The 25,937-nt window shown below is 50.6% G+C and overlaps 2 protein-coding genes across 20 annotated transcripts in view; one reads left to right on the plus strand and one right to left on the minus strand.

The window, feature by feature from the left end:
• On the plus strand, positions 84-25,593 carry NUBP1 (NUBP iron-sulfur cluster assembly factor 1, cytosolic). 7 transcript variants are annotated; one of them, NM_002484.4, is made up of 11 exons: positions 84-124; positions 203-307; positions 3,385-3,518; positions 8,852-8,920; positions 11,963-11,995; positions 12,932-13,022; positions 14,115-14,269; positions 17,606-17,716; positions 17,999-18,101; positions 24,191-24,274; positions 25,289-25,593. In NM_002484.4, exons 1-11 carry the CDS (start codon positions 106-108, stop codon positions 25,345-25,347), a joined length of 963 nt encoding a protein of 320 aa, NP_002475.2. In that variant the 5' UTR covers positions 84-105; the 3' UTR covers positions 25,348-25,593. The 7 variants fall into 7 exon arrangements, with proteins under 7 accessions (NP_002475.2, NP_001310524.1, NP_001310525.1 ...); NM_001323597.1 differs by having other exon boundaries at positions 111-124; positions 17,999-18,105; positions 24,196-24,274; positions 25,289-25,591; NM_001323595.2 differs by lacking the exon at positions 24,191-24,274.
• TVP23A (trans-golgi network vesicle protein 23 homolog A) overlaps positions 13,560-25,937 on the minus strand; it is a 61,477-nt gene continuing 49,099 nt past the window's right edge. For 5 of the 13 annotated variants that reach the window (NR_134903.2, NR_134905.2, NR_134902.2 and 2 more), the window contains 2 exons: positions 19,800-20,005; positions 17,154-17,810 (listed from right to left, as the gene is read on the minus strand). The gene's annotated coding sequence lies outside the window, so the exon portion shown is untranslated. Of the gene's footprint in view, positions 14,520-17,153; positions 17,811-18,758; positions 25,721-25,937 lie in introns of those variants that run through there. The other 8 variants (NM_001079512.4, NM_001318873.2, NR_134906.2 and 5 more) reach the window with 7 other exon arrangements.

Raw genomic sequence — 25,937 nt, forward strand, 5'->3', positions numbered from 1 at the left:
CTTTCCGAGACTTATTTCGCGCGGTCGGAGAATCAGATTGTGCCCACAAGGCGGAAATGTACGACAGCGGGTTCCGGTGACCACGAAGGCGGCAAAGGCGACGGAATGGAGGAGGTGCCTCACGGTAAGCTCGCGGAGGGGGCGTGGGTCGCGGGGCGAAAGTGTCGGGAGCTGCTCTAACTGTGGTCTTGTCTCTGCGCAGACTGTCCAGGGGCCGACAGCGCCCAGGCGGGCAGAGGGGCTTCATGTCAGGGATGCCCCAACCAGCGGCTGTGCGCTTCTGGAGCGGGGGCCACTCCGGACACGGGTGAGAAAAGGGCAAGGCCTCAACAGGAACTTAGAGGCGCAGGCCCGGAAAAGGCGGGGCGTGGGAGGGAGGGGGCGGGATCTGCAGAATGACTGACAGCGGCAGGCTAGAAGGTATTGTATTCGGAGAGGGGTGGGGCCCAGAAGGGGCGGGGCGTGGAAAGTGGGCAGGGTGAGGGCGGAGCTTGGAATGACTGACAGGAACGAGGCCTTTAGAAGGCGAGCGCGAAGGACCTGGCGCGGATGGAGGGTGGAGACTGACCGGCGCGGAGTCGAAAGGGACATTAATTAAGAGGGTCGGGGCCAGAGGTTTGAGTGACAATAACAGACCGCAGAGAAAAACGGGATAAGCTTCGAAGTCGGGGAGTCTTCGGACTTACATCCTGGCTCTGCCAGCTACTTTCTTGACACAATTTTCTTCCTTTTGAGGAGTGATTCTCCCACTCATTCAGCAGAAATGTGTTGATCGCCTCGTAGGTTTGGTGCTGTCCTGGGGACACAGCTGGGGATCAGGCGTGGTCACTGCTCTAGTGGAGTTTAGCTTTACTGGGGAAACAAACACGTGAGCTAGCAACTAAACCACCGCAGCTTTAAGTGCTGTGAAGCACAGATTCCAGGATGAGAGGACCCAGGGAGCCTGCTCAGAAGGACCTTAAAAAGCAGGAGGCAGGAGGACAATATTTTTTTTTCTTTTTTTTCCCCCTTTTTTTTTAGACAGAGTCTTGCTGTGTAGCCCAGACCAGAGTGCAGTGGTGTGATCTCGGCTCACTGCAACTTTCACCTCTCAGGTTCAAGCGATTCTCGTGCCTCAGTCTCCCGAGTACCTGGGACTACAGGCGCCTGCCACCACGGCTGGCTAATTTTTATATTTTTAGTAGAACCAGAGTTTCACCATGTTGACCAGGTTGGTCTCGAACTCCTGACCTCAAGTGATGCATCTGCCTGGGCCTCCCAAAGTGCTGGGATTACAGGCATGAGCCACTGCACCTGGCCAAGGGGGAGAATCTTGAAGGAGTTCAGAGAGAGACTTGGATTTGATTCTTGGATCCATGCGGTGTGACCTTCAGCAATAGTCCTAACCTCTCTGAGCTTCTGGTTCCTCATCAAAAATGGAGACAGGCCGGGTGCAGTGGCTCACGCCTGTAATCCCAGCACTTTGGGAGGCCGAGGCGGGTGGATGGATCACTTGAGGTCAGGAGTTCGAGACCAGCCTGGCCAACATGGTGAAACCTGTCTCTACTAAAAATACAAAAATTAGCCAGCATGGTGGTGCATGCCCGCCCTCGAGGCTGAGGTGGGAGGATCACTTGAACCCGGGAGGTGGAGGTTGCAGTGAGCTGAGATCGTGCCACTGCACTCCAGCCTGGGTGACAGAGTGAGACCCTGTCTCAAAGAAAAAAAAAAATGAAGAGAAAAATAGTTATCTCTGTCAATGCAATGGAGAGACTGAACTGAGCCTCAGTGGAGGTTTATTGGGCCAGAGCTTGAGGGCGTGCCCTGGAAAATACAAGTGACAGAAACATCTGTGGCCTGTGCTCGATGGAGTGGTTCCAGAAGGCTGGTGTTTATATATTTCATTAAAAGGGGAAAAAGCATGCAGGAAAAAGTGCAGTAGGCCTCGTGGCAGGTAGTTACATTCTTGTGAGGTTTTAATTCGTGCCCAGTATATCTACACTATTCAGAAAATAAAGTAAACATTCAAAAGAGGGAATAAAGGAAGAATTAATTAGGCAGACGTCTCAGGGTAGGAGAGGAAGGACTATCTCATCCCATCTTTGTTTGGCATGTGGGAGGATAAGCTTGTAATGGACATGGTCAGTGTGGCGTTTAACAGACATCAGTAATAGGGAAGGAGTTAGACTGAGGTTACAGTCCTAAAGTTACAGTTGGCATGTCCTTGTTTATGGGAGGATACTCATCTTCAAAGATTTAGGGGCCAGCAAAGGAGTTCCTTAGGAGCAACTTGTGAGGGCAGTCATCCCACAATGGATTGCATGGGGCCTTTGGCCTTTTGCAGGTGTCTGGTTAATGTAGAATGCTTTGACACAAGGTTGGGAAGTAACAGCTGTCTGTTGATGGGGAGGAGGACAGCAGTGTTGGGAGGTTTCCAGGCTTAACTTTCACTTGAGTTTGGCCAGTCATGAGACTTTTTAATTTCCTTTATACCTCGTGTATTGTTTTAAGGATTTGAAATAAGATAGTTTCATTGGCAGATACTTAGTATGTGCCTGCTGTCTATCAGAGTTTCTCAACCTCAGCACTGCTGACATTTGGGGCAGGATCACTCTTTGTTGTGGGGGGCTGTCCTGTGCATTGTAGGACATTTAGCACAATCTGGGCTGTACCCATTAAATGCCAGCAGTACCTCTCCTGTGACAATGAAAAGTGTCTCCAGGCTGAGCATGGTGGCTCACACCTGTAATTCCAACACTTTGGGAGGCCAAGGTGGGTGGATCACTTGAGGTTGGAAGTTCGAGACTAGCCTGGCCAACATAGAGAAACACCGTCTCTATTAAAAATACAAAAATTAGCCAGGCATGGTGGCAGGCACCTGTAATCCCAGCTACTTGGGAGGCTAAGGCAGGAGAATCGCTTGAACCCAGGAGGCAGTGTTGCAGTGAGCCGAGATCACGCCACTGCACTCCATCCTGGGCGACAGAGCAACACTCTGTCTCAAAAAAAAAAGAAAGAAAGAACAGTGTCTCCAGACATTACCAAATGTCTCTGGGGGATTTTGTCCCCAAGTTGGTGACCATTGCTGTTTGCAAAGTTCTCTTCTGGAGCTGGGAATACAGCACTGAAAGCTTCAGACAGTTCCTACCTTTGTGGAGACTATGTTCTAGTTGGGGGAGACAAACGTGTAAACCAATAAATGAGACCCCTTCAAGTGTGATAATAGCCTTATTTTCTTCCTAGCACTTATTTCTACCATTGTCTGAGAGGTATTTCAGAGGATCGTTTTAAACAGCCCCAGGACTAGTACTAGGACTAGGACTTAGCTCTTTCTAGTTGACTGGAAGCGTGACATTCGAGGTTTGGTGTGGGACCTCATCCCCTGAACTTTGGTTTTCTTTGCAGCTATAGAGGAAATCAAAGAGAAAATGAAGACTGTAAAACACAAAATCTTGGTATTGTCTGGGAAAGGCGGTGTTGGGAAAAGCACATTCAGCGCCCACCTTGCCCATGGCCTAGCAGAGGATGAAAACACACAGGTGAGACCTCAGGAACCACTGGGAGATGCTCATTTTGTCTGAGGGTCGTGATGGCTACTAAATAACTGATTCCTAGGCCAGGCGCAGTGGTTCATGCCTGTAATCCCAGCACTTTGGGAGGCCAAGGCGGGCAGATCACTTGAGGCCAGGAGTTTGAGATCAGCCTGGCCAACATGGCAAAACCTTGTCTCTACTAAAAATACAAAATATTAGCTGGGCGTGGTAGCGCAGGCTTGTAATCCCAGCTTTTCGCGAGGATGAGCCATGAGAATCGCTTGAGCCCAGGAGGCAGAGGTTGCAGTGAGTCAAGATTGTACCAGTGTACTCCAGCCTGGGTGGCAGAATGAGACTGTCCAAGAAGAAAAAAAAATGATTCCTTATACTAAGTTGAATTGGCCTCTTTGGAATCTCAATCCGGCAGAGAGCAAAGAAATGCCCAGTAGTCAAATGAAGCATTTCACTGGATTCCCTAGCCAAGAAAATGGCTAGCAGATGTACATCTGTCCTTGCATGTGGATAGTTTATTACATTACGTTCACGCTTCTTTTTCCTCTTTATTAACCCCTTTTAGCTTTTCTCTAAGCCAGGGACCTGCAAACTATAGCCAGTGGGCCAAATCCAGCCCATCTCCTGCCTTATGGCCTTTGAACTAAGAATGTTCACATTTTTGAAATGTTTTTTGTTTGTTTGAGACAGGATCTCACTCTGTCACCCAGGCTGAAGTGCATTGCTATGATCAGGACTCATTGCAACCTCTACTTCCTGGGCTCATCAAGCTATCCTCCCACCTCAGCCTCTCAAGTACCTGGGACTACAGGTGCTTGCCACCATGCCCGGCTAATTTTTGGGTTTTTTGTAGAGATGAGGTTTTGCCATGTTGCCCAGGCTAGTCTTGAACTTCTGAACTCAAGGCGTCCCCCTGCCTCGGCCTCCCAAAGTGCTGAGATTATAGGCATGAGCCACCGTGCCTGGCCTAAAATTGCAATTTTTAAATTAGTACCTAAGTACCTACATATGATCCTTGATTTTGCCCACAAAGCCTAATAATATATTTGCTGTTGGCCCTTGTGGAAAATTTTTGCTGGCCCTTACACGAGTTTATTCATTTCCACCCATGCATACAGACGAGCATGAAAACTCAGATTACCCACTGCTGCCCTCTGGATCTCAACTTTAATAAAAGGGGTTGGTGGGTCGCTAAGAGCACACACTCTGGAGTCAGACAGCCCAAACTCAGGTCCCAGCTCCATCTACACCACTGCTGTGACCTTGGGCAAGTTACCAGGCTTACTCTGCCTCCGTTTTCTCATCTATAAAATGGGACTCCAAGGACTGAGTGAGATGGCACAGTAAAGCACTTAGCACGGGGCCCGACGAATAGTCAATGCTCAGTAAAGGTCTGTGATGGCCACCATTTTTATTACTTTATTTCACTCTCTGGATATGAAGGGATGATGATTACATCTGCCTTAGAGATGAGTTTGTAGCCTACCCAAGGTATAGTACTGGGCAGATTCAAAATACACTTGTTGGGCAGGGCATGGTGGCTTACACTGTAATCACAGCACTTTGGGAGGCTGAGGCAGGCGGATCACTTGAGGTCAGGAGTTTGAGACCAGCCTGGCCAACATGGTGAAACCCTGTCTCCACTAAAAAATACAAAAATTAGCTGGGCATGGTGGTACGTGCCTGTAGTCTTAGCTACTCGGGAGGCCGAGGCATGAGAATCGTTTGAACCCAGGAGGCGGAGGTCGCGGTGGGCCAAGATTGCCCTACTGCACTCCAGCCTGGGTGACAGACAAGACTCCATTTAAAAAAAAAAAAGGATATAGATAGATACACAGACACATACACACACACACACACACACACACACACACACACACACACACACGTTGATTCGTCATTCTGTGAGTCAGCGATCTCTTGCCATTTGAGGGTCAAATCTGTACTGGCCTAGTGGGCTGGCCAAGAAATCTGCTTTCTCAGATTGTCTGTATCGTTTAGAAGAATCTTTGCTTTTCGAAGCTGTCAGGAATATTCCTAAACAGCTCACTGGAGATGGGCTTTCATCTCACCACTTGCAAGTAACCACTTGTGAGTAGACAACTGTTTACATCCTTCACTTTCATGTAATTACGTTCTGAAGTCTTTGCTGCATGCCTGTCTAGACTTTGCAGTATACAGAAGGAAAGCACACCATTCAGTGTGGAAATATGGCTAGATCAGCTGTATTTTTTTATGCAGTGGTGGTTTAAAAAAAAAAGAAGTCAGCATTTAGGAAAGTGTGTTTTCCCCAGGCAGACCTACTCATGACAGTGACATCACTATCTGCAAAGTGTCAACACATGGAAAATGCTGAATATGTCTTGATTAAAGTCAAGCAGCACAGATTTCTCCCTGCCCTAAATCCAGCAGGGTGGTGGGACATGCCCTGACCTTTTTCTGCCTGCCATCTGGTGGAAGCTTGGCTCTAACTCTGTGCAAGACCATTCCATGTTAGCGCTTGAGGCAGGCAGGCGCCTGTCATCTCATTGGCACAAAGGGCCTTGGATCAAGAGAGAGCAGAATTAGAAAACACCCCTGACGAGTCACAGGCTGCCCAGGGAGTGTGTAAGTTGTGGTGAAGGCAGAAGGAGCCTCTGTAGCATAAGCCTGAGCCATGAGACAGCCAAGAGTCATACACTGTCTTCCACTGCAAAAGTCACCGACTCCCAGCCTGGGCTTCAAAGTGAGACCCCTGTCTCTACAAAACATAAAACATAAAAAAAGTTAGCCAGGTGTGGTGGTAAGCACCTGTAGTCCCAGCTACTCAGGAGACTGAGGTAGGAGGATCACTTGAGCCTGGGAAGTCAAGGCTGCAGTGAGCCGTGATTATGCCACTGCACTCCAGCCTGGGCAACAGAGTGAGACTCTACCTCAAAAACAATGAATAAATAACAAGTCACCAACTTCCATAAATTAAACTTTTTTTGTTTGTTTTTTTGAGACGGAGTCTCATTCTTTTGCCCAGGCTGGAGTGCAGTGGTGTGATCTCAGCTCACTGCAACCTCCACCTCCCGGGCTCAAGCAGTTCTGCCTCAGCCTCTGGAGTACCTGGGATTACAGGCGTGTGCCACCACACCCAGCTAATTTTTGTATTTTTAGTAGAGACAGGGTTTCACTATGTTTGCCAGGCTAGTCTCGAACTCCTGACCTCAGGTGATCCGCCTGCCTCAACCTCCCAAAGTTCTGAAATTATAGGCGTAAGCCACCACACCCAGCCACCATAAATTAAACATTTATGATCTTTGTGATCTGAAAGGCAAACTGTCATAACAAGGTCAGCACTAGGTGTTTCAGGACTGAGTGTGCGAGGCCCTCCTCTGGGTCCTGGGACTGCAGAGCTGAGAGGGGCCTTGATGACCCCGGAGCAGTTGTCTCACAGATCAGAAGCCCAGACAGCCAAGGCTTCGAAAGCAGAAGCAACTTGTGCAAGGACTAAAAGTTAGGACTAAATCCCTCTTCCCCTACCCTCCTCATCAGGGGCAGTTTGGGGTGCTGAGTAAAGGAGACGCTTTGGGTCCCGACAGCCTTGCAGCATCTCCACCTTCTGCAGCAAACGCGGCCTCTTCCCATCAGCTGCAAACACAGGCCCAGAGGTCCTGCTGGGAGGAACGCAGGCGCATTGCTCTCAGCTTTGCTTTTCTGGCCTAACCTAAGCAAAATTAAATGGACAGATTTTGGGGTAGTAATAAGATCAACAGGAAGTCTGAACAGACAGGACCCAGGGCCGTCCTGGCCATCTGGGTAGCAGGAGCTTGTCAACAGCCTCTCGGGCCTGCCACGGGAGTGAGAGAGTGCGCTGGATCTGCTTCTCATATCCTTACATCATTTCGCTCAAGATTCACTCCCCAAGGGAGTGAAATTCCTCTAAAGGGAATTGATTAAATTGTTCCCTAAAGGAAGGGCATGGAGACAGAGTCACTAGAAACCTGAGAGTATCGAGGAAAGTCTCTATCACAGTCATAGTGATAGTGTCATTTCCCCGTGGATCATTGACACATCAGTCCCAAGTATCAAGGTCCGGAGAGAGCAAGTCAGGTTTTCCGATGATGTCGCTCTGCTGTTCTCCCCGGATGGCTCCATAGAGGGCACCTGAGGCCAGTGCTGGTCTGTGGATGGCGTTTTCCCGTGCACAAGTTTGAGACAGCGCTGGGTGCTGAGGAAGTAGGAGGCTGGGTTTGTTGAGAGGATTGAAGAGGGTGGCAAGAAACTAATTCAGGGCAAGTTAAAAAGTGACGCGGAGGTGCAGCACTTTGGATCCGAGTCATTGCAGCTTTCAAGATGAATACTAGCCCTGTTCTCAGAAGGTTCCTGAAGGCCGTCTCAGACCTCCTGTATCAGAGGGGAAGGCTTGGGGTGGAATGGGGTCGCCTGAAGCTGCACCTGAGTCACAACTAAAGAGCTTTTCCAGGTTTCCATCTTACTTTAAGTTTCTGTTCTGTAAGTTTAGCCTAAACCATCATTCACCTTCAGGATCAAAGGAAAACAGGGCTTGGTCAGGGTTCAGCTAGAGGCTCCACTCTGGTCCTCCACAGCAGGCCCGTGGTGTACTGGAAAGAGCCCCAGTTGGGGCCGAAAGACCTCAGTTTATGTCCCAGCTCTGTTCCCTGCTTATTGAACTGGTCCCCTCTGAACCTCAGTTTCCTCCTCTGTAAACCAGAGATAATGATACTTACCTTCTAGGCACATGGCCGCCTCAGCCTCCCAAAGTGTTGGGATTACAGGCGTGAGCCACTGCACCCAGCCCCCAATATTTTTTAATACATTCATATTCTGCTTAAATAGTCTAGATTTGGCTTGTATCTGAGACTCCTGAACAAGATAGGATGAGTTTGAGAAAAATTTAAGATGCAGAGACCAAGGCTTGGTGAGGGGTGAGCAAAAGAGAGCTGTTTAGGGTGGCTCCAACACTGCCGTCTCTTGGCTGTTCCATCCATTCTGTCACACAAGCCAAACAGGCGCTAGGTCCCTTTCCCCGTCTCCTCCAACCAGGGCTCAGTAAACAAGGTCTGAGCCCGAGCCTCCAAGTGACCTGACAGCCAGGTCTGTAAGATCACCCTTGAGGAGCTCAGCCAGGCTGAGGGGTAGGGGAATGGGGGCATCAGTGTTTATGAACCTTGAGATCAGCGTTAGGACTCTCCCTCAGGAGAATCTGATGGCTCCAAGTTTAACCCAGTTTCTGTCTTCTCCCCTGTCCTTTTCCTCTAACCCCGCTCCCCTCCTAGTTGTGTGTGTCTGGAGTGTGTGCATTCAGTTATATAACCGCTTTGGTCTCTTCTTGTCCCCAGATTGCTCTTCTAGACATCGATATATGTGGGCCATCGATTCCCAAGATAATGGGATTGGAAGGAGAGCAGGTAATAGCCGGTTACAGAACTCAGGAAATTATTCTCTTAAGGCAAACTCTGTAGCACTGAACTGTCAAACCTCAACAAAGAGGCATGCGGAGCCCATAAATGTTTTTTTGTTGTTGTTTTGTTTTGTTGTTTTTGAGACAAGGTCTCACTCTTGTCGCCCGGGCTGGAGTGCAGTGGTGCAACCTCAGCTCACTGCAACCTCCACCTCCTGGGTTCAAGCGATTCTTGTGCTCAGCCTCCTGAGTAGCTGGGACTACAGTGGTGTGCCATCATGCCCAACTAATTTTTGTATTTTTGGTAGAGACCAGGTTTCACTACGTTGGCCAAGCTGGGCTCCACCTCCTGACCTCTAGTGATCACCTGCCTCAGCCTCCCAAAGTGCTAGGATTACAGGCGTGAGCCACCGCACCTGGCCTGTAAATGTTTATGTGGACATGAGGAGCTCATACATGCTCAGTAGTCCATCTGTCTACTTTTAACAACAACTGTGAGTCTTGGCGGGGGAGGGGCGGGATTGTATATGAAGTCTGTCTACACCATTGGAGAAGCATTGGTTTCGATGCCTCCTCAGAGGGGAAGGGAAACAGCCAGTGAAATGCAGAAGTAAGACACGGAAATTTAGCTCTGACTGGGAACATTAGACCAGGGCTTGCTATGGGTCTGTACCCTGGAAGCAAGGGAATATTTCTGCCCTTGTGGTCTCCCCTGGGGAACTGAGACTGCAGGGCGGGTGAGCGATGTGGGCTGGGGGCAGGGCTGTAGCAGTCTATGTAGTTGCTGGCCTCTTCTTGCTAGCAAGAAGCTCTCCAAGAGAGGATTCCCCCAAGGGCAGTGCATGGAAGCTGGGGCTGGGGGTGCTGGGATGTCCCGAGAGTCTCAAGATTGGTTCTTTCTTTAATTAGTGCCAGGAATGCATTAATCCTGTTTTGGGGATGCAGTGGTGAACAAGGTCCATGAAGACCCCTGTCTGGGTGGGAGAAGGCAGATGCTAGATAATGTGAAACCAACCCAGAGTGAGGGGATGGACAGTAGGGCAGAGTCAGAGGGGCTGAGGGGTGGTCAAAGGTGCCCTCACTGAGGGATAGCATTTGAGCAGAGGATGACAGGAGGGGAGAGCTGGGGGAAGGGCATTCTGGGCTAAGGGAGCAACTGCATGGGCCGCTGACACAAGGTGTCCTTGTGTCCTCAGTGGAGTGACCAGAGGGGCTGGAGGGTGGCCCGAAGCAGATGGGGCCGGCCTTGCAGGCACTTCTAAGGCCTTGGGGTTTGCTTCCGAGGGAGTAGGGAAGGAGAGCGATGTCACCCTGTGAGGCTTGGTCACATACCCCAATGGATTTGGTAGCACACGCCACAGTGAAGGTATAAGCTACTGTCATCACACGTAATTATTTCATGAAACAGAAAATTTTAAAATAAAAGAAAATAGAAGTTTCCCTATTTTCTTCTCCTGCACTATTGGATCATCCTGTTTACCCCTCTTTTAAGACAAATGGACTTAGCAAACGAGTGTAAATAGGAATGAATGGTTTTGTGGGGTTTATTTTATTTTATTTTATTTTATTTTATTTTATTTATTTTATTGAGACAGAGTTTCACTCTTGTTGCCCAGGCTGGAGTGCAGTGTCGCGATCTCGGCTCACCACAACCTCCGCCTCCCGGGCTCAAGCAGTTCTCCTGCCTCAGCCTCCTGAATAGCTGGCATTACAGACACACGCCACCACGTCCAGCTATTTTTTGTATTTTTAGTAGAGTTGGGGTTTCACCATGTTGACCAGGCTGGTCTCGAACTCCTGACCTCAGGTGATCCTCCCGCCTCAGCCTCCCGCAGTGTTTGGATTACAGGTGTGAGCCACTGTGCCTGGCTGGGTGTCTTTTAATAGAACTTCGAAGTCAGTCACAGAGGACCGCATGTTGTGTGATTCCACTTACATGAAATGTGCAGAATAGGTCAGTCCACAGTGAGAGAAAGTGGATTAGGGGTCCTGTAAGGCTGGGAGGATGTGAGACAGACTGTGGGGGGTGGTGACAGCTGAGGGGTATAGGGATTCTTCTTAAGAGTCAGGCAAATGTTCTAAAATTGTGGTGACTGGGTACAGTGGCTCACACCTGCAATCCCAACACTTTGGGAGGCCAAGGCGGGTGGATCACTTGAGGTCAGGAGTTTGAGACCAGGCTGGCCAACATGGTGAAACCCCGTCTCTACAAAAAATACAAAAATTAGCTGGGCATGGTGGCGGGCACCTATAATCTCAGCTACCTGGGAGGCTAAGGCAGGAGAATCACTTGAACCTGGGAGGTGGAGGTTGCAGTGAGTCAGGATCACGCCACTGCACTCCAGCCTGGTCGACAGGGCAAGACCCCATCTCAAAAATAAAAATAAAAAATAAAACTGTGGTGATGGCTGCATGCTTGTGACTGTACAGAAAGCCACTCATTCAATGGGTGAGTCATATTGTCTATGAATCATGTCTCAGTAAATCTGTTGAGAAAAGTAAGGCTTCATCAAGAAAATTAAACTTTCAGTGTGCGCTTTGTGTGCTGCTGGACACCTGCTGGGGGGAAGAGGTCTGAATCTTGTTGCCCCAGGAAGCTCCCCTTTGTGGCTGGAGCTGATTGGGGACAGGTTCTGAATCAGCTGTTTCGTGAGAGCTCATTCCCTTCACTCCTGTGCTTTTACAAAAGCCACCTCATTGCTCCACAGGTATCTGCATTTTCTCATCAGTCCCCAGCCGATTTTTATGACTCTTTTAAGATACCTTAGACACAACATCATATTTGAACTTGAGTAACTTTGGTTCCCTATCTAGACATCCAAGTAGAGTTTCCAAATAACCCAGCTTAGGGCACAAAGGGAGTTGAGTTGCATCTTTATTACCCACGCCCTAGCTGTTCACCTCCTTTTAGGAATTTCGTGGTACCATGTAAGACAATGAATTATATTTTAAAAAACCATCGTCTTACTTTGTACAATTTGTCTGTGCATGAAATGTGACCAGGGTACATGATTTCTACTAATGAACATCGGTGCTCATGTTCACACAGGTTCACCAGAGTGGCTCAGGCTGGTCTCCAGTGGTGAGTTTTCACCTCTTTGCCCTATTTTCACAGTAGTGTGTGGTTGTGTGTACATAATGGGTTTGTGGTTTGTTGGTCCATAGGTATTTATTAGGGTACTTTTCGAGGCACAGAGGATGTGATTAAAACCAGTGATTGGCAGGCTTTTTCTGTAAAGTGTGGGACGGTAAAGATTTTCAGCATGTGGGCCTACATTCCTTGCTGTTGTAGCACAAAAGTAGTAATATGTAACTGAACAACCAGGACAGTATTCCAATAAAAGTTTATTTACAAACACAGATGGTGGGCCAGATTTGGCCCTGAAGTCCATAGTTTGTAAATCTCTGGTTAAGAGAGTTAAGGAGGCAGGGTGCAGTGGCTCACACCTGTGATCCCAGCACTTTAGGAGGCCAAGCCAGGCAGATCACTTGAGGCCAGGAGTTCGAGACCAGCCTGGCCAACATGGCGAAATCCCATCTCTACTAAAGATACAAAAATTAGCCGAGCATGGTGGCACGCGCCTGTAACACTGGCTACTCGGGAGGCTGAGGCAGGAGAATTGCTTGAACCCGGGAGGCAGAGGCTGCAGCAAGCTGAGATTGCACCATGCACTCCAGCCTGGGCAACAGAGCCAGACTTCATCTCAAAAAAATGAAAAATAAAAAAATAAAAGAGTTAAGGAGATGACATTTACTTATTTTAGCTGAGTTCCCTGTCATTGCCGTCACTGCAGCCCATGGACATACAGTGCCTCTTTCAAATCCCCCAACATGGTACCCTTTTTTTTTTTTCCAAAAATGATTTAGGAGCAAAGAGTGAATATGCTCATAGGTCACATGGTAGTTTTGTCCTGAAAATGTTTTTTTCAGTCAGAGCTCAAACAGAAGACCTGGGGGAGGGCCTCACTGTGTGGTTTTGAGTAAAGCGTGTCTTGCCCTCACCCTGTTCCCTCTGCAGTACGTGGAAGACAACCTGGGGGTGATGTCAGTGGGCTTCCTGCTCAGCAGTCCTGATGATGCTGTTATCTGGAGGGGACCCAAGAAAAACGGTTTGCCACTCTGCCTTTTTTTGTCTCTCACATTCTTCCACGAGCGTTGTGGCTCTTGGCTTTATCTGCTCCCTGTCCTGCCAGTCTCAGCCTGCTGGACTTCACAGTATATTATTTTTAACCATCCAGTGCCTCTTTCTTCACTGGTTGAAAAGAGCTAATAGAAATACCAGTTTCCATTACGTAATTATAAATATCTGCTGTGAGTTTTTCTCTCCTTAAAAGCTGTAGAACCCTGGTCGGGTGTGGTAGCTCACGCCTGTAATCCCAGCACTTTGGGAGGCCGAGGCAGGTGGATCACCTGAGGTCAGGAGTTCAAGACCAGCCTCGCCGACATGGTGAAACCCTGTCTCTACCAAAAACATAAAAAATTAGCCGAGCATGGTGGCACGTACCTGTAATCCCAGCTACTCGAGAGGCTGAGGCAGGAGAACCCAGGAGGCGGAGGTTGCAGTGAGCCAAGATCATGCCACTGCACTCCAGCCTGTGTGACAGAGCGAGACTTTTTCTCAAAAAAAAAGCTATAGAACCCTGAAATTATTTTTATCATGGTTTTATAGTGGCTTATTTGGGTCAGAGAGGTGAGATCAACAGGAGGTTGATCTGGTACTGAGACTTAAGGTAATAATGTGAAAGTGTTATCAGGGCAAGCTTTAGCCTCAGCACTATTGATATTTTGAGCCAGATAAGTCTTTGTTGGGGGGAGGAGTAGACCGTGTTCTACACCATAGGGTGTTAAACAGTGTCCCTGGCCTTTACCCACAAGATGCCAGTAGCACCCCCTACTCTATTTGTGACAACCCAAAATGTCTCCAGACATTGCAATTCACTCCCAGTTGAGAGCCACTGACTTACAGCATAGACCAAAGGCACAAAAAGATCAGATCATGCTTCTCCGTGAGCTGGGCACAGTGGCACGCACTTATAGTCCTAGTTACTTGGGAGGCTGAGGTGGGAGGATTGCTTGAGCCTCAGAGTTAAGAGCCAACCTGGGCAACATAGCAAGACCCCATCCTTTAAAAAAAAAAGAGGGAGTTGAAAGTACAGAAAAGAAAGGAAAAGTAAGCATCCCCTGTGGATTCCTCTTTCTAGGCATGATCAAGCAGTTCCTCCGAGATGTGGACTGGGGAGAGGTCGACTACCTCATTGTGGACACCCCACCTGGGACGTCGGATGAACACCTCTCGGTCGTCCGGTACCTGGCCACAGCACACATCGATGGAGCAGTGATCATCACCACTCCCCAGGTGAGCGAGCTGCCAGCTGGAGCTGGGTCCAAACTGTGCTCCACACTGTGAGATTTCTTTCCTACCTGGCTCTGATACTCTGGTCTCACCAAGGCTCTTCCCAGTGTGTGTTCCGCAGCTGCATCTGATGTGGGTCTGCAGAAACCTCGTGTTAAAAACTTCAGCCAGCACAGTGATTCACACCTGTAATCCCAGGACTTTGGGAGGCTGAGATGGGAGGATCACTTGAGCCCACGAGTTCGGGACCAGCCTGAAAAACATAGCAAAACCCCATCTCTACAAAAAATATTTTAAAATTAGCCAGGCATGGTGGCTCGCGCCTGTAGTTCCAGCTACTTGGGAGGCTGAGGTAGGAGGATCATTTGAGCCTGGGGAAAGGAGGTTGCAGTGAGCCATGATCACGCCAGTGCAGTCCAGCCAGCGCAAGCGAGTGAGGCCTTGTCCCAAAAGATAAAAATAAGAAAAACTTCATCTTTGGTCTAGACATTTGCAGCTGACAACCATTCAACGATTTGGTTTTTTTTTAGTCCATGGATTAAACAATAGTGGGTCAAGAATGCTTTTTGAACTTTCCTTGAGGAAACTAGGGAAACCACCAGTGCAGTTATAATTCATACTGTGCTGCCTGGCCCCGTCAGCCTTGCCGTGTCCATGTGTCAGGTCCCCCAGCCTACAGTGGATTTTCCGTTTACATCCCAGGATGATTTAGGAAATCTCTCCAGTTTTCAACAGAACCAGCTGGGTGCAGATAGGGATTTCGGGATAAGCCACTGGGTGCCTTCGCTTCTTCCGTAGTGACACCCAGCAACCCTCTGTAGCAGTCACCTAGTGGCTGTACTCCAAGGCCCATGGTGAGCCCGAGCTGAGAGGAGAGCGATAGGAAGTTTCCTCTCTGTAAGTCCTGCAGAGAGCAACTGCAGGCAGGACCATGGTGCTATCCATCTCAGGGGCCTGAGAAACTGAGGGCTCTTCTCCATCTCCACAGTTACGCCTGACTTCTCTTCATGACGTTCTCCTCCACACTTAAGAAAGCCCAGCAAAGGAGGTTTGATTTGATCTCACTGGCCAGAATCAGTCAGGACGACCCATAGTCTCACCTCATCCAGCACTCACTGAGCTCTGACTCTGACATGCCGGGCACCAGGGCAGTAAAAAGGCCTGGCTCTCCCTGGTGGCCCCTGTGGCTCCCTGAGGAACACAGGTGCTGGACACAGGGATGAGGGTACAGCCAATGGAGTGGCAGGCCCAGCGGCCATGGGAAGGGTGTCCGGGTCAGAAAATGGTGCAAGATTCATGTCCACCCTGGCATCCTGCAGAGAGGGGACATGGGGACGCAAGGAGGAGCAGGACACCAGCTGGGACCCTGGACAGGAGGGAGGATGGCCTGGCCCGGGTGATGGCAGTGGAGAGAAAGTGTATTTGTCCTTAGGAATGTTTTCTGTCCCATTTTTAAAAAGTGGTTGGTGCTGGGCACACTGGCTCATGTCTGTAATCCCAGCACTTTGGGAGGCCGAGGCAGGCAGATTACTTGAGGTCAGGAGTTCGAGACCAGACTGGCCAATATGGCAAAACCCTGTCTCTACCAAAAAAATACAAAAATTAGCCAGGCGTGGTGGTGGGCACCTGTAATCCCAGCTACTTGGGAGGCTGAGGTGGGAGAAGTGCTTGAATCCAGGAGACAGAGGTTGCAGTGAGCCGAGATCGCGCCACTGCACTCCAGCCTGGGCGACAGAGCAAGACTCTGTCTCAAAAAAAGAAAGAAAGAAATGAGAGACTGAGTCGCAGCCCATTGACTTTCTAGCTGAGCGCCCCTTCCTCCGCATCCCAGCCTCAGTGTCAAGAGCCAAACAGGCATCTCAGGAAAAGAACAGGCCCAAAGCTGCGAGCCTTTCGGGCTCACGTGAGTGGTGAAGCTCCAGGTGCTAAGGAGTCACTACACCTGACAGTGACAAGCCACAGCAGGACTTGGGTACAGGGATCTGTGATAACATTAACTGAGGAAAATAGGGAGCTACTGAGCGGTGTTTATACACAGTAATCACATTGGAAAAACTCAGAGTTGAGAAGGAAATGCAAAGTTGTCCACATTGGGCAGTATTCCTTATTTCCTTTTAGTCAGTTGTTTGTGTTTATAATTATCTAGAGCAGGGATTGGCAAACTTTTCTGTAAAGGGCCAGATAGGAAGTAGGCGTTGCGGACCCCACGGTCCCTGTCCCAGCCCCTTAGCCGTGCCACTGTGGCATGAAGCAGCCACAGACGGTGCCTAGAGGGACGGGCATGGCTGGTTCCGGAGGAACTTTATTTATAAAACCAGCCAGATTCAGCCCCCAGGCTGGGGTTTGCCAAGCTCTGGTCTAGAAAACAGTGCACACACTGGCTTAATATAGTATAGTATAGGGACATGGAGCATGTAGATGCGTTAAAAGGTCATTTTCAGATAGGCACAGTGGCTCACGCCTCTAACCCTAACACTCTGGGAGGCCGAGGCAGGAGGATCACTTCACACCAGAAGCTTAAGACCAGTCTGGGCAACAACCATCTCTATAAAAAATTAAAAAGTTAGCCAGGCAGAGTAGCACATGCCTGTAGTCCCAGCTACTCTGGAGGCTGAGGCAGGAGGATTGCCTGAGCCCAGGAGGTCAAGGCTGCAGTGAGCAATGATTATGCCACTGCACTCCAGACTGGGCAGCAGTGAGATCCTGTCTCTAAAAAAAAAAGTCATTTTCTTTTAGGTTGATTTCTTGCTATTTGGCTGTGTGGGAAGTAAATAGCACCTCGAACAAACAGGGCTTAGCACTAGTAGGTACTAAATAAATATGGATTTGGCAGAGGGCATACATTAGTTCATTTTCACACTGCTGTAAAGAACTGCCTGAGACTGGGTAACCTATAAGGGAAAGAGGTTTCATTGATTCACAGTTCTGCATGGCTGGGAAGGCCCCAGGAAACTTAACAATCATGGTGGAAGGCAAAGCAGGCACATGTTACACAGTGGCAGCAGTGAGAGAGAGAGTGTGTAGGAGGAACTGTCAAACACTTACAAAACCATCAGATCTCGTGAAAACTCACTATCGAGACCAGCATGGGGGAAACTGCCCCCATGATCCAATCACCTCCCACCAGGAACTGCCTGTTCCTGTAGGGATGTAGGGATGATGGGGATTACAGTTCGAGCTGAGATTTGGATGGGGACACAGAGCCAAACCCTATCAGGGCAGAAACCTCTAAGGCTTTATGATCGCAGATCCACTGCATTGCAGCCATCCCCTCGGTTGCACAGACATTCCCTTTCTCGCACTTTGATGCTGGAATCACTGGTCTTTTCACCTTCGTAGGAGGTGTCACTCCAGGATGTCCGGAAAGAAATCAACTTCTGCCGCAAGGTGAAGCTGCCCATCATCGGGGTGGTGGAGAACATGAGTGGCTTCATCTGTCCTAAGTGCAAGGTGAGGGCGCGTGGGGCTGCCAGGCGAGCAAGATCTTGCTCTCATGGATGAGGAAACGATCGGAAGGCTGCTCTGCAAACTATTTCTGCTTTCCCTGTCATTTTGGGAAGTGGAATCACAATTAAAATCCCTTTCTGCTGACTAAAGGAAAGTTCTTTAGGTGTTAAGGGTTCCACATTCAAACTAAGCCTTTTTTTTTTTTTTAAGTTTCTTTAAAATGTGGTCCATCCTTGTGATTCTGCAAAAAAATTATGTTTCCTCCCCTTTGAATTTGCCTTGCAGAAAGAATCTCAGATATTCCCTCCCACAACCGGGGGCGCGGAGCTCATGTGCCAGGACTTGGAGGTCCCTCTCCTCGGCAGAGTGCCCCTGGATCCGCTCATAGGTGGGTGACCCCAGTGTGGGGCGGCACCTCACTCCTCGGTCAGCCCCACAGGCACGGGTCGGGCACAACAGGGGGCGGCTACAGAGAGGGGCAATGGAAGGAGGAGGGTCAATGGGGCGCTGGAGCCAGACCCACCCTCCAGCTGGCACCCCAAGAGGCCACCGGGAGAGAGGCCGAGACCCCTGCGGGCAGGTAGCGGGAGCAAGCAGGCCTCAGGCAGAGGGGTGAGGCCTGGAAGAATGGGGTAGAGGTTGGTGAGGGTGGTGGTGGCAGGGGACTGAGGAGGGCACCCGATAGAGGGGCGGCTCCAGGGGATGCACATGGCGTCCAGGTTACAGAGGAAGGCGGCCTGAGGTGAAAATCCCTTAGGAAGGGGCCGGGCCTCCTGTGCCCGGAGAAGCCAGCACGGCACAGATGAGGCCCCTTTGTCTCCAGCACCGGGACAGACCGGAACGCGGATCACTGGCCTGCGAGCAGGGGCCAAGTTCCCAAAAAATGCTCTTCTTAAGTACGTGGGTCTCCCAGGATCCCAAGAGATGCCCACTCCCTGAGTGGCCCTGAGGCTGAAGGAGGGACGGGGTTTCACGTCTCCACCCACACGCCCGCCGGGCGCCCACTCGCCGCGGGGCGCTGGGCAGGGCCTACACTCGAAGCTGCTCCCCCAGGAGGCTGCTGTCCCCCAGGACCGCGGAGCCGGGCGGGCCTCCGTTACTGGGGCCCTTTAGTGGGGCTCCTGCGGGGCGTCCAGCACTCGCCTTTAGGTCTGAGGGGAGAACAGAGAGAGAAGGCTGGAGGGGAGGCCGGGATCCAGGAGTGCCGGCTGCACCCATGCCTCGGAACTTCCACTCCATTTGTCAGGGAACCAAGGCCAGTGTGAGGTGTCTGTGCCGGGACAGGAGAGAGGGGCCGGGCGGGTGAAGTATGGCCTGGCCAGGAGAGGGTGGGGGCCGCGTGCTTGGGGAGAGGGCGGGGCCCGTGGAGAGCCTGGAGGCGGGGAGGGCGGAGGCCACGTGGGGAGCCTTGGGGAAGGGCTGCATGGGGAGAATGGGAGCCTGTGGGAAACGACTGTCAGTGTCATGTGCCTGGGAACAGGAGGCTCAGGAGTGGCTGCCCTGGGATAGGGGTTCAGGATGAGGCCCTGGGTTCTGGCGTTGGTGTAGAAAGGAAGGGACACACACAAGAGAGAAAGTGACGGCATCTGAGGGTCAAGGTTGTCCCTGCTGCCAGTACAAGTCACCTGGAGGAGGGTCCGTCCCTCAGAGACAGTGAAGCAGGGGTGGTAGAGGGAGGCCGGGCCCTCTGGGGTGCTGCGGCTAAGGGGCTCGGGGGCTCAGGTTGTCAGCAGGTTCTGGGGTCCGTCAGGAGAAGGTGGTTCATGTCCGTGCAGTTGAGTTTTGAAGCCACAGGACATGGACAGGATTGCCAAGGGGCCGTGCAGAAAGCGGGAGCCAGGAGGACAGTGTTGGGGGATGGCTGCCTCGAGGAAGTGGTAGGGGGGTAGGGTGCGAGGGCCACTCTGAAGATGGGAACAGCCCGGGAGAACGCCAGAGACCCCATGTGCCCAGGAGGCTGTGTCCCCAAATCCTTTTTCCCTTATTCCCACATCCCACAATACTTCTCTGGCATGTGATTTCCCCAACAACATGCAGAAAAGTACAGCTGCTTTCTCAACCTTCCCCAGCATCATAAAACACTCACCAGGCAGCTTTTGCAGTGGCCGGAAGTGGTGATGAGAGCTGCCCTCTGAGGCCCCTGGAGGCAGTTGGGCTGCATGAATGGATGTGATTGGGGACAGGAGCTTGCAGCAGCCCAGGGCACATCCATTCCTGCCAGCCTGCACCTCTGCCACAGTTCAGCTCTGCCGAGATGGGATTGGTGGGCAGGACGTTTGTCAGGGGAAACATCTGTGGGAGAAAATGACAAGGGAGAGCGTTAGCCCACGATGAAGGAGTGGGGGAAGGAACATATCAGCCCGAAAGAGCATCACGGCCCATAGGAGTATCTCAGCCCCTGGAAGCATCTCAGCCCAAGGGAGCATCCCAGCCCTCAAGAGCATCTCAGCCCATGGGAGCATCCCAGCCCAAGGGAGTATCTCAGCCCACAGGAGTATCTCAGGCCACGGGAGCATCCCAACTCAAAGGAGCATCTCAGCCCACAGGAGTACCTCAGCCCATGGGAGCATCCCAGCCCAAAGGAGCATCTCAGCCCACTGGAGCATCCCAGCCCAAGGGAGTATCTCAGCCCACAGGAGTATCTCAGCCCACGGGAGCATCCCAACTCAAAGGAGCATCTCAGCCCACAGGAGTATCTCAGCCCACGGGAGCATCCCAGCCCGAAGGAGCGTCTCAGCCCACTGGAGCATCTCAGCCCATGGGAGCATCTTAGCCTGCTGGAGCACCTCAGTGTACTTTGCTTTTTGGCATCTCAGTCTGCTGGAGTATTTGTCTATTGGAGCATCTCAGTCTGCTGGAGTGTGGCAGTCTATTGGAGCATCTCAGTCTGCTGGAGTATGCCAGTCTGTTGGAGCATCTCAGTCTGCTGGAGTATTTGTCTATTGGAGAATCTCAGTCTGCTGGAGTATGCCAGTGTGTTGGAGCATCTCAGTCTGCTGGAGTATGTCAGTCTATTGGAGCATCTCAGTCTGCTGGAGTATTTGTCTATTGGAGCATCTCATTCTGCTGGAGTATTTGTCTATTGGAGCATCTCAGTCTGCTGGAGTATGTCAGTCTATTGGAGCATCTCAGTCTGCTGGAGTATGTCAGTCTATTGGAGCATCTCAGTCTGCTGGAGTATGTCAGTCTATTGGAGCATCTCAGTCTGCTGGAGTAGGTCTATTGGAGCATCTCAGTCTGCTGGAGTATGTCAGTCTGTTGGAGCATCTCAGTCTGCTGGAGTATGTCAGTCTGTTGGAGCATCTCAGTCTGCTGGAGTATGTCAGTCTGTTGGAGCATCTCAGTCTGCTGGAGTATGTCAGTCTGTTGGAGCATCTGTCTGCTGGAGTATGTCAGTCTGTTGGAGCATCTCAGTCTGCTGGAGTATGTCAGTCTGTTGGAGCATCTGTCTGCTGGAGTGTCTTGGCTGCTGTCGAGGAAAGCTGGGCACAGCCACCAGGGCATTCCTGAGCCCACTTACCCATCAGAGGGGCTGCATCTCCCAGAAGCGTGCCTGCCCGAGTGCCATGCTCGTCTCAGTCACTAGCTAGGAGCAGCCTGGGAGTGGCATTGCCTCAACACAAACGTGGTGGTGGATTTTGGAGCATGGCAGCTGCTGCCAGAGATCCAAGAGGTGTGTCCTTATGGCCATCACAATTGCCACATTTTCCAAGGTTTAATGAAGAGCTAGAAATCTATATCCTTACCCAAAGTCTCCTGATACTAAATGATAGCAACTAACTCCATTAAATACACACACACACACACACACAACCATGCTCTAGCCTGGGTAACACAGGAAGATACCTCATCTCTTAAAAAAAAAAAAAAAAAAAAAAGGAAAAAATTCACCCAGTGTGGTGGCATGTGCCTGTGGTCCCAGCTACTCAGGAGGCTGAGTTAGCAGGATCACTTGAGCCCAGGGAGGTTGAGGTTGCAGTGAGCCATGATCACACCACTGCACTCCAGCCTGGGCGACAGAGCAAGAACCTGTCTCAAAAAAAAATTTAAAAATGGCATGCTTGCTGACCCACCCAAATATGTCCACGGGCCCAGCCACAGGCCTGCCCTTGCCATTGTCTGACAGATCAGGAAGTGACCTTGGGGCTATTAGATCCTGATACGGCTTTTCTTCCAAAGAGCCAGCAACCTCCATCTTCCCACCTCCCTCACACCAAGCCCTGGCATTGGCCCTGGTCTTTCCTTTCAGGGCCACTTTTCACAAAGAAACAAAGTTCCAGGTGGTTCACAAGAGCTAATTTCAAAGCAGAGGAGCCACCAGTGACAGCTGCGAGGCTCATTCTGAGCTGAGAACATTAAGTGCCTTCTAGTGGGCATGGTCCTGTGTGTCAAATGGCACATTGCAGAAGCTCACCTTGAGGGGAAGCCACAGATAGCAAGGCCAGGGAGTGCCAGAAAGGAAGGGGTGGTTAACACTGTCACCCACCCAAGAGGGTGGAGCATGAGGGCCAAGTGACAGACACGCATCTGGCAAGGTCACTGGGGACAGAGTGGGGGAAAACCCACCTTCCTAGGAACAGACAGGAAGGCATGAGGACAGCACTTCAGTCTCCTCTGGGGACATGGTGGCAAAGAGTTACAGATGCCAGCGCTCTGGTGCTATGGGTCCTGGTCCCGGTGTGCTGAGGATCACAGGAAGGGCTGGCCTCAGAGCCCTGCTCCGCCACCACTAGCTGTGGGACTTGGGCTAGTCATTTCCGCTCTCAGCCTCGATGGCCCCGTGTGTAAAATGCAGGTGACAGTGGTGCCTAGTGAGAGGGATCTGCCAGGGTGGGGTGAGAGGATGCCTGGGATCTCTTGGAACAGGGCTGTGCTCACACCAGCTGTTCTGATAATGCTGCCCGTTCTTGGAGAGGTGGGAGCCCAGGGGGAAATGCAGTTAGGAAGGGAAAACACTAGAGCATATATGTGTGTTGGGGGCTGGGGAGCCCTCTGGGGAAGGGAGACCTGGGTGAAAGTCAGGGACAGAAAGTAGCCCCAGCATGACTATTCTGGGATCCCCAACCTCCCAGGTCTGGCCCAGCGAACGTGCACTCAGGGGCCTCCCTAGCGAGTTCCACATGGTCTCATGGGCCCAGCGTTAACGGCGGAGGATGTCCAGGTTCTTGGTGTCTGGAACAAAAAATTGGACAAAACGCACAAAGAAAGGAAGGAAGGAAGGGATTTATTGAAAATGAAAGTCAACTCCACGGTGTGGGAGGAGAACGGGCCTGAGAATAGGGGCTCAAAGGCCCCATTACAGAGTTTTTGTGTTTAAATACCCTCTACTTGAGGTACGCCCTATATAAACGAAAAGGATGAAGTAAAGTTACAAAGTCATTTACGGCATACGTCCTATGGAGAGGACATTTCCTGTTATGGCTCAAGTGCGAATTGGCCTTATGTTCCCTGCCTCTGGACCCTATTTTCCTGACTCACTGGGCCATATGGGCTCCCCATCTCCCACCAACCCCTCCCCACAGGCTTCTTCCCCGACTTGGACTTCCCTGTCCCACAGGGCGACACAGTAGTGAAGTTGAGGAAATGATGAGTGCTAGGTAGGAACCCCTCCTGGGGTTCACCTGAGGCTGGTGACCGGCCATGGGCAGTGCAGTCACTTGCCTGTTTCGCCAGCAGCTCAGGCCTGGGGAGTGGGCAGAGCAAGCTGATGGCAGGTCCACCCACGACTGGGGGCTGGCAGGGCAGACTGGAGGCGAGAACACCCCCATTGACCCCTAGCCCCTTGTGTCCTGTCCACCTGGCTCTGGGATAACATGGTCCTAGAGAAACCTGGGTGTGCATAGGAGGGGACTGGAACAATGGCCACATGGCGGGGAAAGACTAGCAGACTGATAGACACCAGCACAGATGACCTGGAAGATAAAATTATACACAGACAAAGCAGCAGGCAGAATGTGTGTGTCATGTGCTCCCATTCGTATTTTAGGTATATGAGAGTGTGTGTATGTGTGTGCGCACACATGCAAGTGTGCACATTTATATGCGCATAATCTTTCTGGAAAGACACCTAGAACACTAGTAGCCCTTTTCGGACTTGGCCTTTTATGCCATATCCTTTTGCATTCTGTACTTTTTTTAACCATGTGCATTCATGATCCTTTCACTCAAAAGCTAATCTCTTAAAATGCAGACTCCTGGGCCCATGTGGAAGCTGCTGAATCAGTTCTCTGTAGGGCCCTGGAACCTGCATTTTCTGTACACCACCTGATTATTTAGCCACGCTGAAATGCTGGCTGGGGACCCTGCTGGAAGGAAGGTCCCTGAGACCCCACTGGTCTTTTCTACTTTGTTCTTCATTACGAGTGAAGCGGGCTCAAGATCTTCCCATTGTCACCAGCACGGAAAGAGCCCCAAGATCTTGTGGCCATTCTGTTTTCCTCTTGGACTGAATTGTCTTCCGTTTGTTTCTTTTTTAAGGTAAGAATTGTGACAAAGGCCAGTCTTTTTTCATTGACGCCCCAGATTCCCCAGCCACGTTAGCCTACAGAAGTATAATTCAGAGTAAGTATTTCCATGAGTACTAAATGCAGATGCCTGTGGGGCAGGAAGCAACATAAAGGAGCCAGGGGTGTGGAAGGACAGGTGGGTGGTGGGGTCTGTGATGACCACAGAGTGGCCCCCATAGCCGAGGAAGCCAGGAGTCCATGAGAAATCTCTCAATGTGTGAGTATTGTGAATTAATTCATAGTTTAAAAAACATGGTGAGGGTGAAATTTATGGCTTAGGAAATACATCCCAATAAAGGGATAAAGTAATTCATTTTTAAAAGTAACTGATAAAAAAAAAAAAGGCCAGGTGCAGTGGCTCACACCTGGAATCCCAGCACTTTGGGTGAAGGAGGCAGGCAGATCACTTGAGGCTGGTCAGGAGTTCAAGACCAGCCTGGCTAACATGGAGAAACACTGTCTCTACTAAAAATATGAAAATTAGCCGGGTGTGGTGGCGCATGCCTGTAGTCCCAGCTACTCAGGAGGCTGAGGCAGGAGAATCGCTTGAACCTGGGAGGCGGAGGCTGCAGTAAGGCGAGATCGCGCCACTGCACTCCAGCCTGGGCAACAGCGTGAGACCGTGTCTCAAAAAAATAAAAAATAAAAATAAAAACTTTGTTGAGCCAGACCAAACCCACGTGCAGGCCACATTCAGCCAGTGGCAGCCATCAGAGGCCCCAGAGTTAGGGCAGAGGTGTCAGTGTTTGTTAAAGCTGTGGTCTCTGAGTTTGTGGCTGGGTTTTACTTGCCTAGAAGAATGATGTCAAGGGTAAGGAAACAGCATTCCCAGAATCCTCCATCTATAGATGGTCCGAGGAAGGCCGCAGCCACTGGTTATGAGCAAGATGGGTAGTGTGAGGTATTCCGGTCACTTTCAAAGACTCAGGGCATCACAGACACAGGTCTTTTTATGGAACTAGCCAGAGGATTCCACCCCTGTCAAAACACAGCCCTCCCCAGCACAGGACAGGGCTGTCAAGGGGTAGACAAGCCATTAGCACTCTATGCCTGTCGTCTTGTTTTCCAGGAATCCAAGAGTTTTGTAATCTCCATCAGTCAAAAGAAGAGAACCTCATCAGTTCCTGAAACGAGAGAATGTTCAGGACCAAGCAGTTACCGAGCGAGGCACTCACTGGGCAGCACATCCAGCCAGACCCGACCAGCTCCGGGATGGGGTGGGTCACAGCAAAAGGACCAGATGCTGGTGTGGTCCGAAGCCACTTTCTCAGAGACACTTTAATCATTGAGTATTTGTACACTTTTCTTTAGAACATATATAAAGGGCATTCTCTACAAATGTGCCGTTTTAAGAATAAAACCCCCTCAAATCTCTCCCCCGAGGCCTGTTTCACGTAAAAAACAAATGGGTTGTGGGATCGTGGGATTCTGCTGTGTCGGAAGCTTAGTCGATTGTAGAAACTCCCGTTTAAGCCATTTCTGCCTGTGAAGATAAGAAAGCCTAGAAAAGAACCAAAGGGGTGAGTGTGCGGCTTCACTGCAGAACACACAGGCTTGTTTTCAAACACCACAGTCCAAACGCTTTTCTTCAGATTGAGGAAAAATCTAAAAGCAACAGAGCTCAGGCTGGGCTTCGTTCTAAAATCACTGCATATGACACAGCTGGGTCAAATCAAAAAGCCCTTGAAGAGTCCTTGAATCACCCAGTAAGACAGAAT

This window comes from Homo sapiens, chromosome 16 (genome assembly GCF_000001405.40).
Source record: "Homo sapiens chromosome 16, GRCh38.p14 Primary Assembly".
NCBI classification, from domain to species: domain Eukaryota; kingdom Metazoa; phylum Chordata; class Mammalia; order Primates; family Hominidae; genus Homo; species Homo sapiens.

What these genes read in the sequence shown, in the direction of transcription:
- NUBP1 (NM_002484.4), top strand. An exon ending in CAGAGGATGAAAACACACAG is followed by an intron (nt 3,519 to 8,851) that starts GTGAGACCTCAG and finishes TCTTGTCCCCAG; the next exon opens with ATTGCTCTTCTAGACATCGA. An exon ending in GCCCCTGGATCCGCTCATAG is followed by an intron (nt 18,102 to 24,190) that starts GTGGGTGACCCC and finishes TTCTTTTTTAAG; the next exon opens with GTAAGAATTGTGACAAAGGC.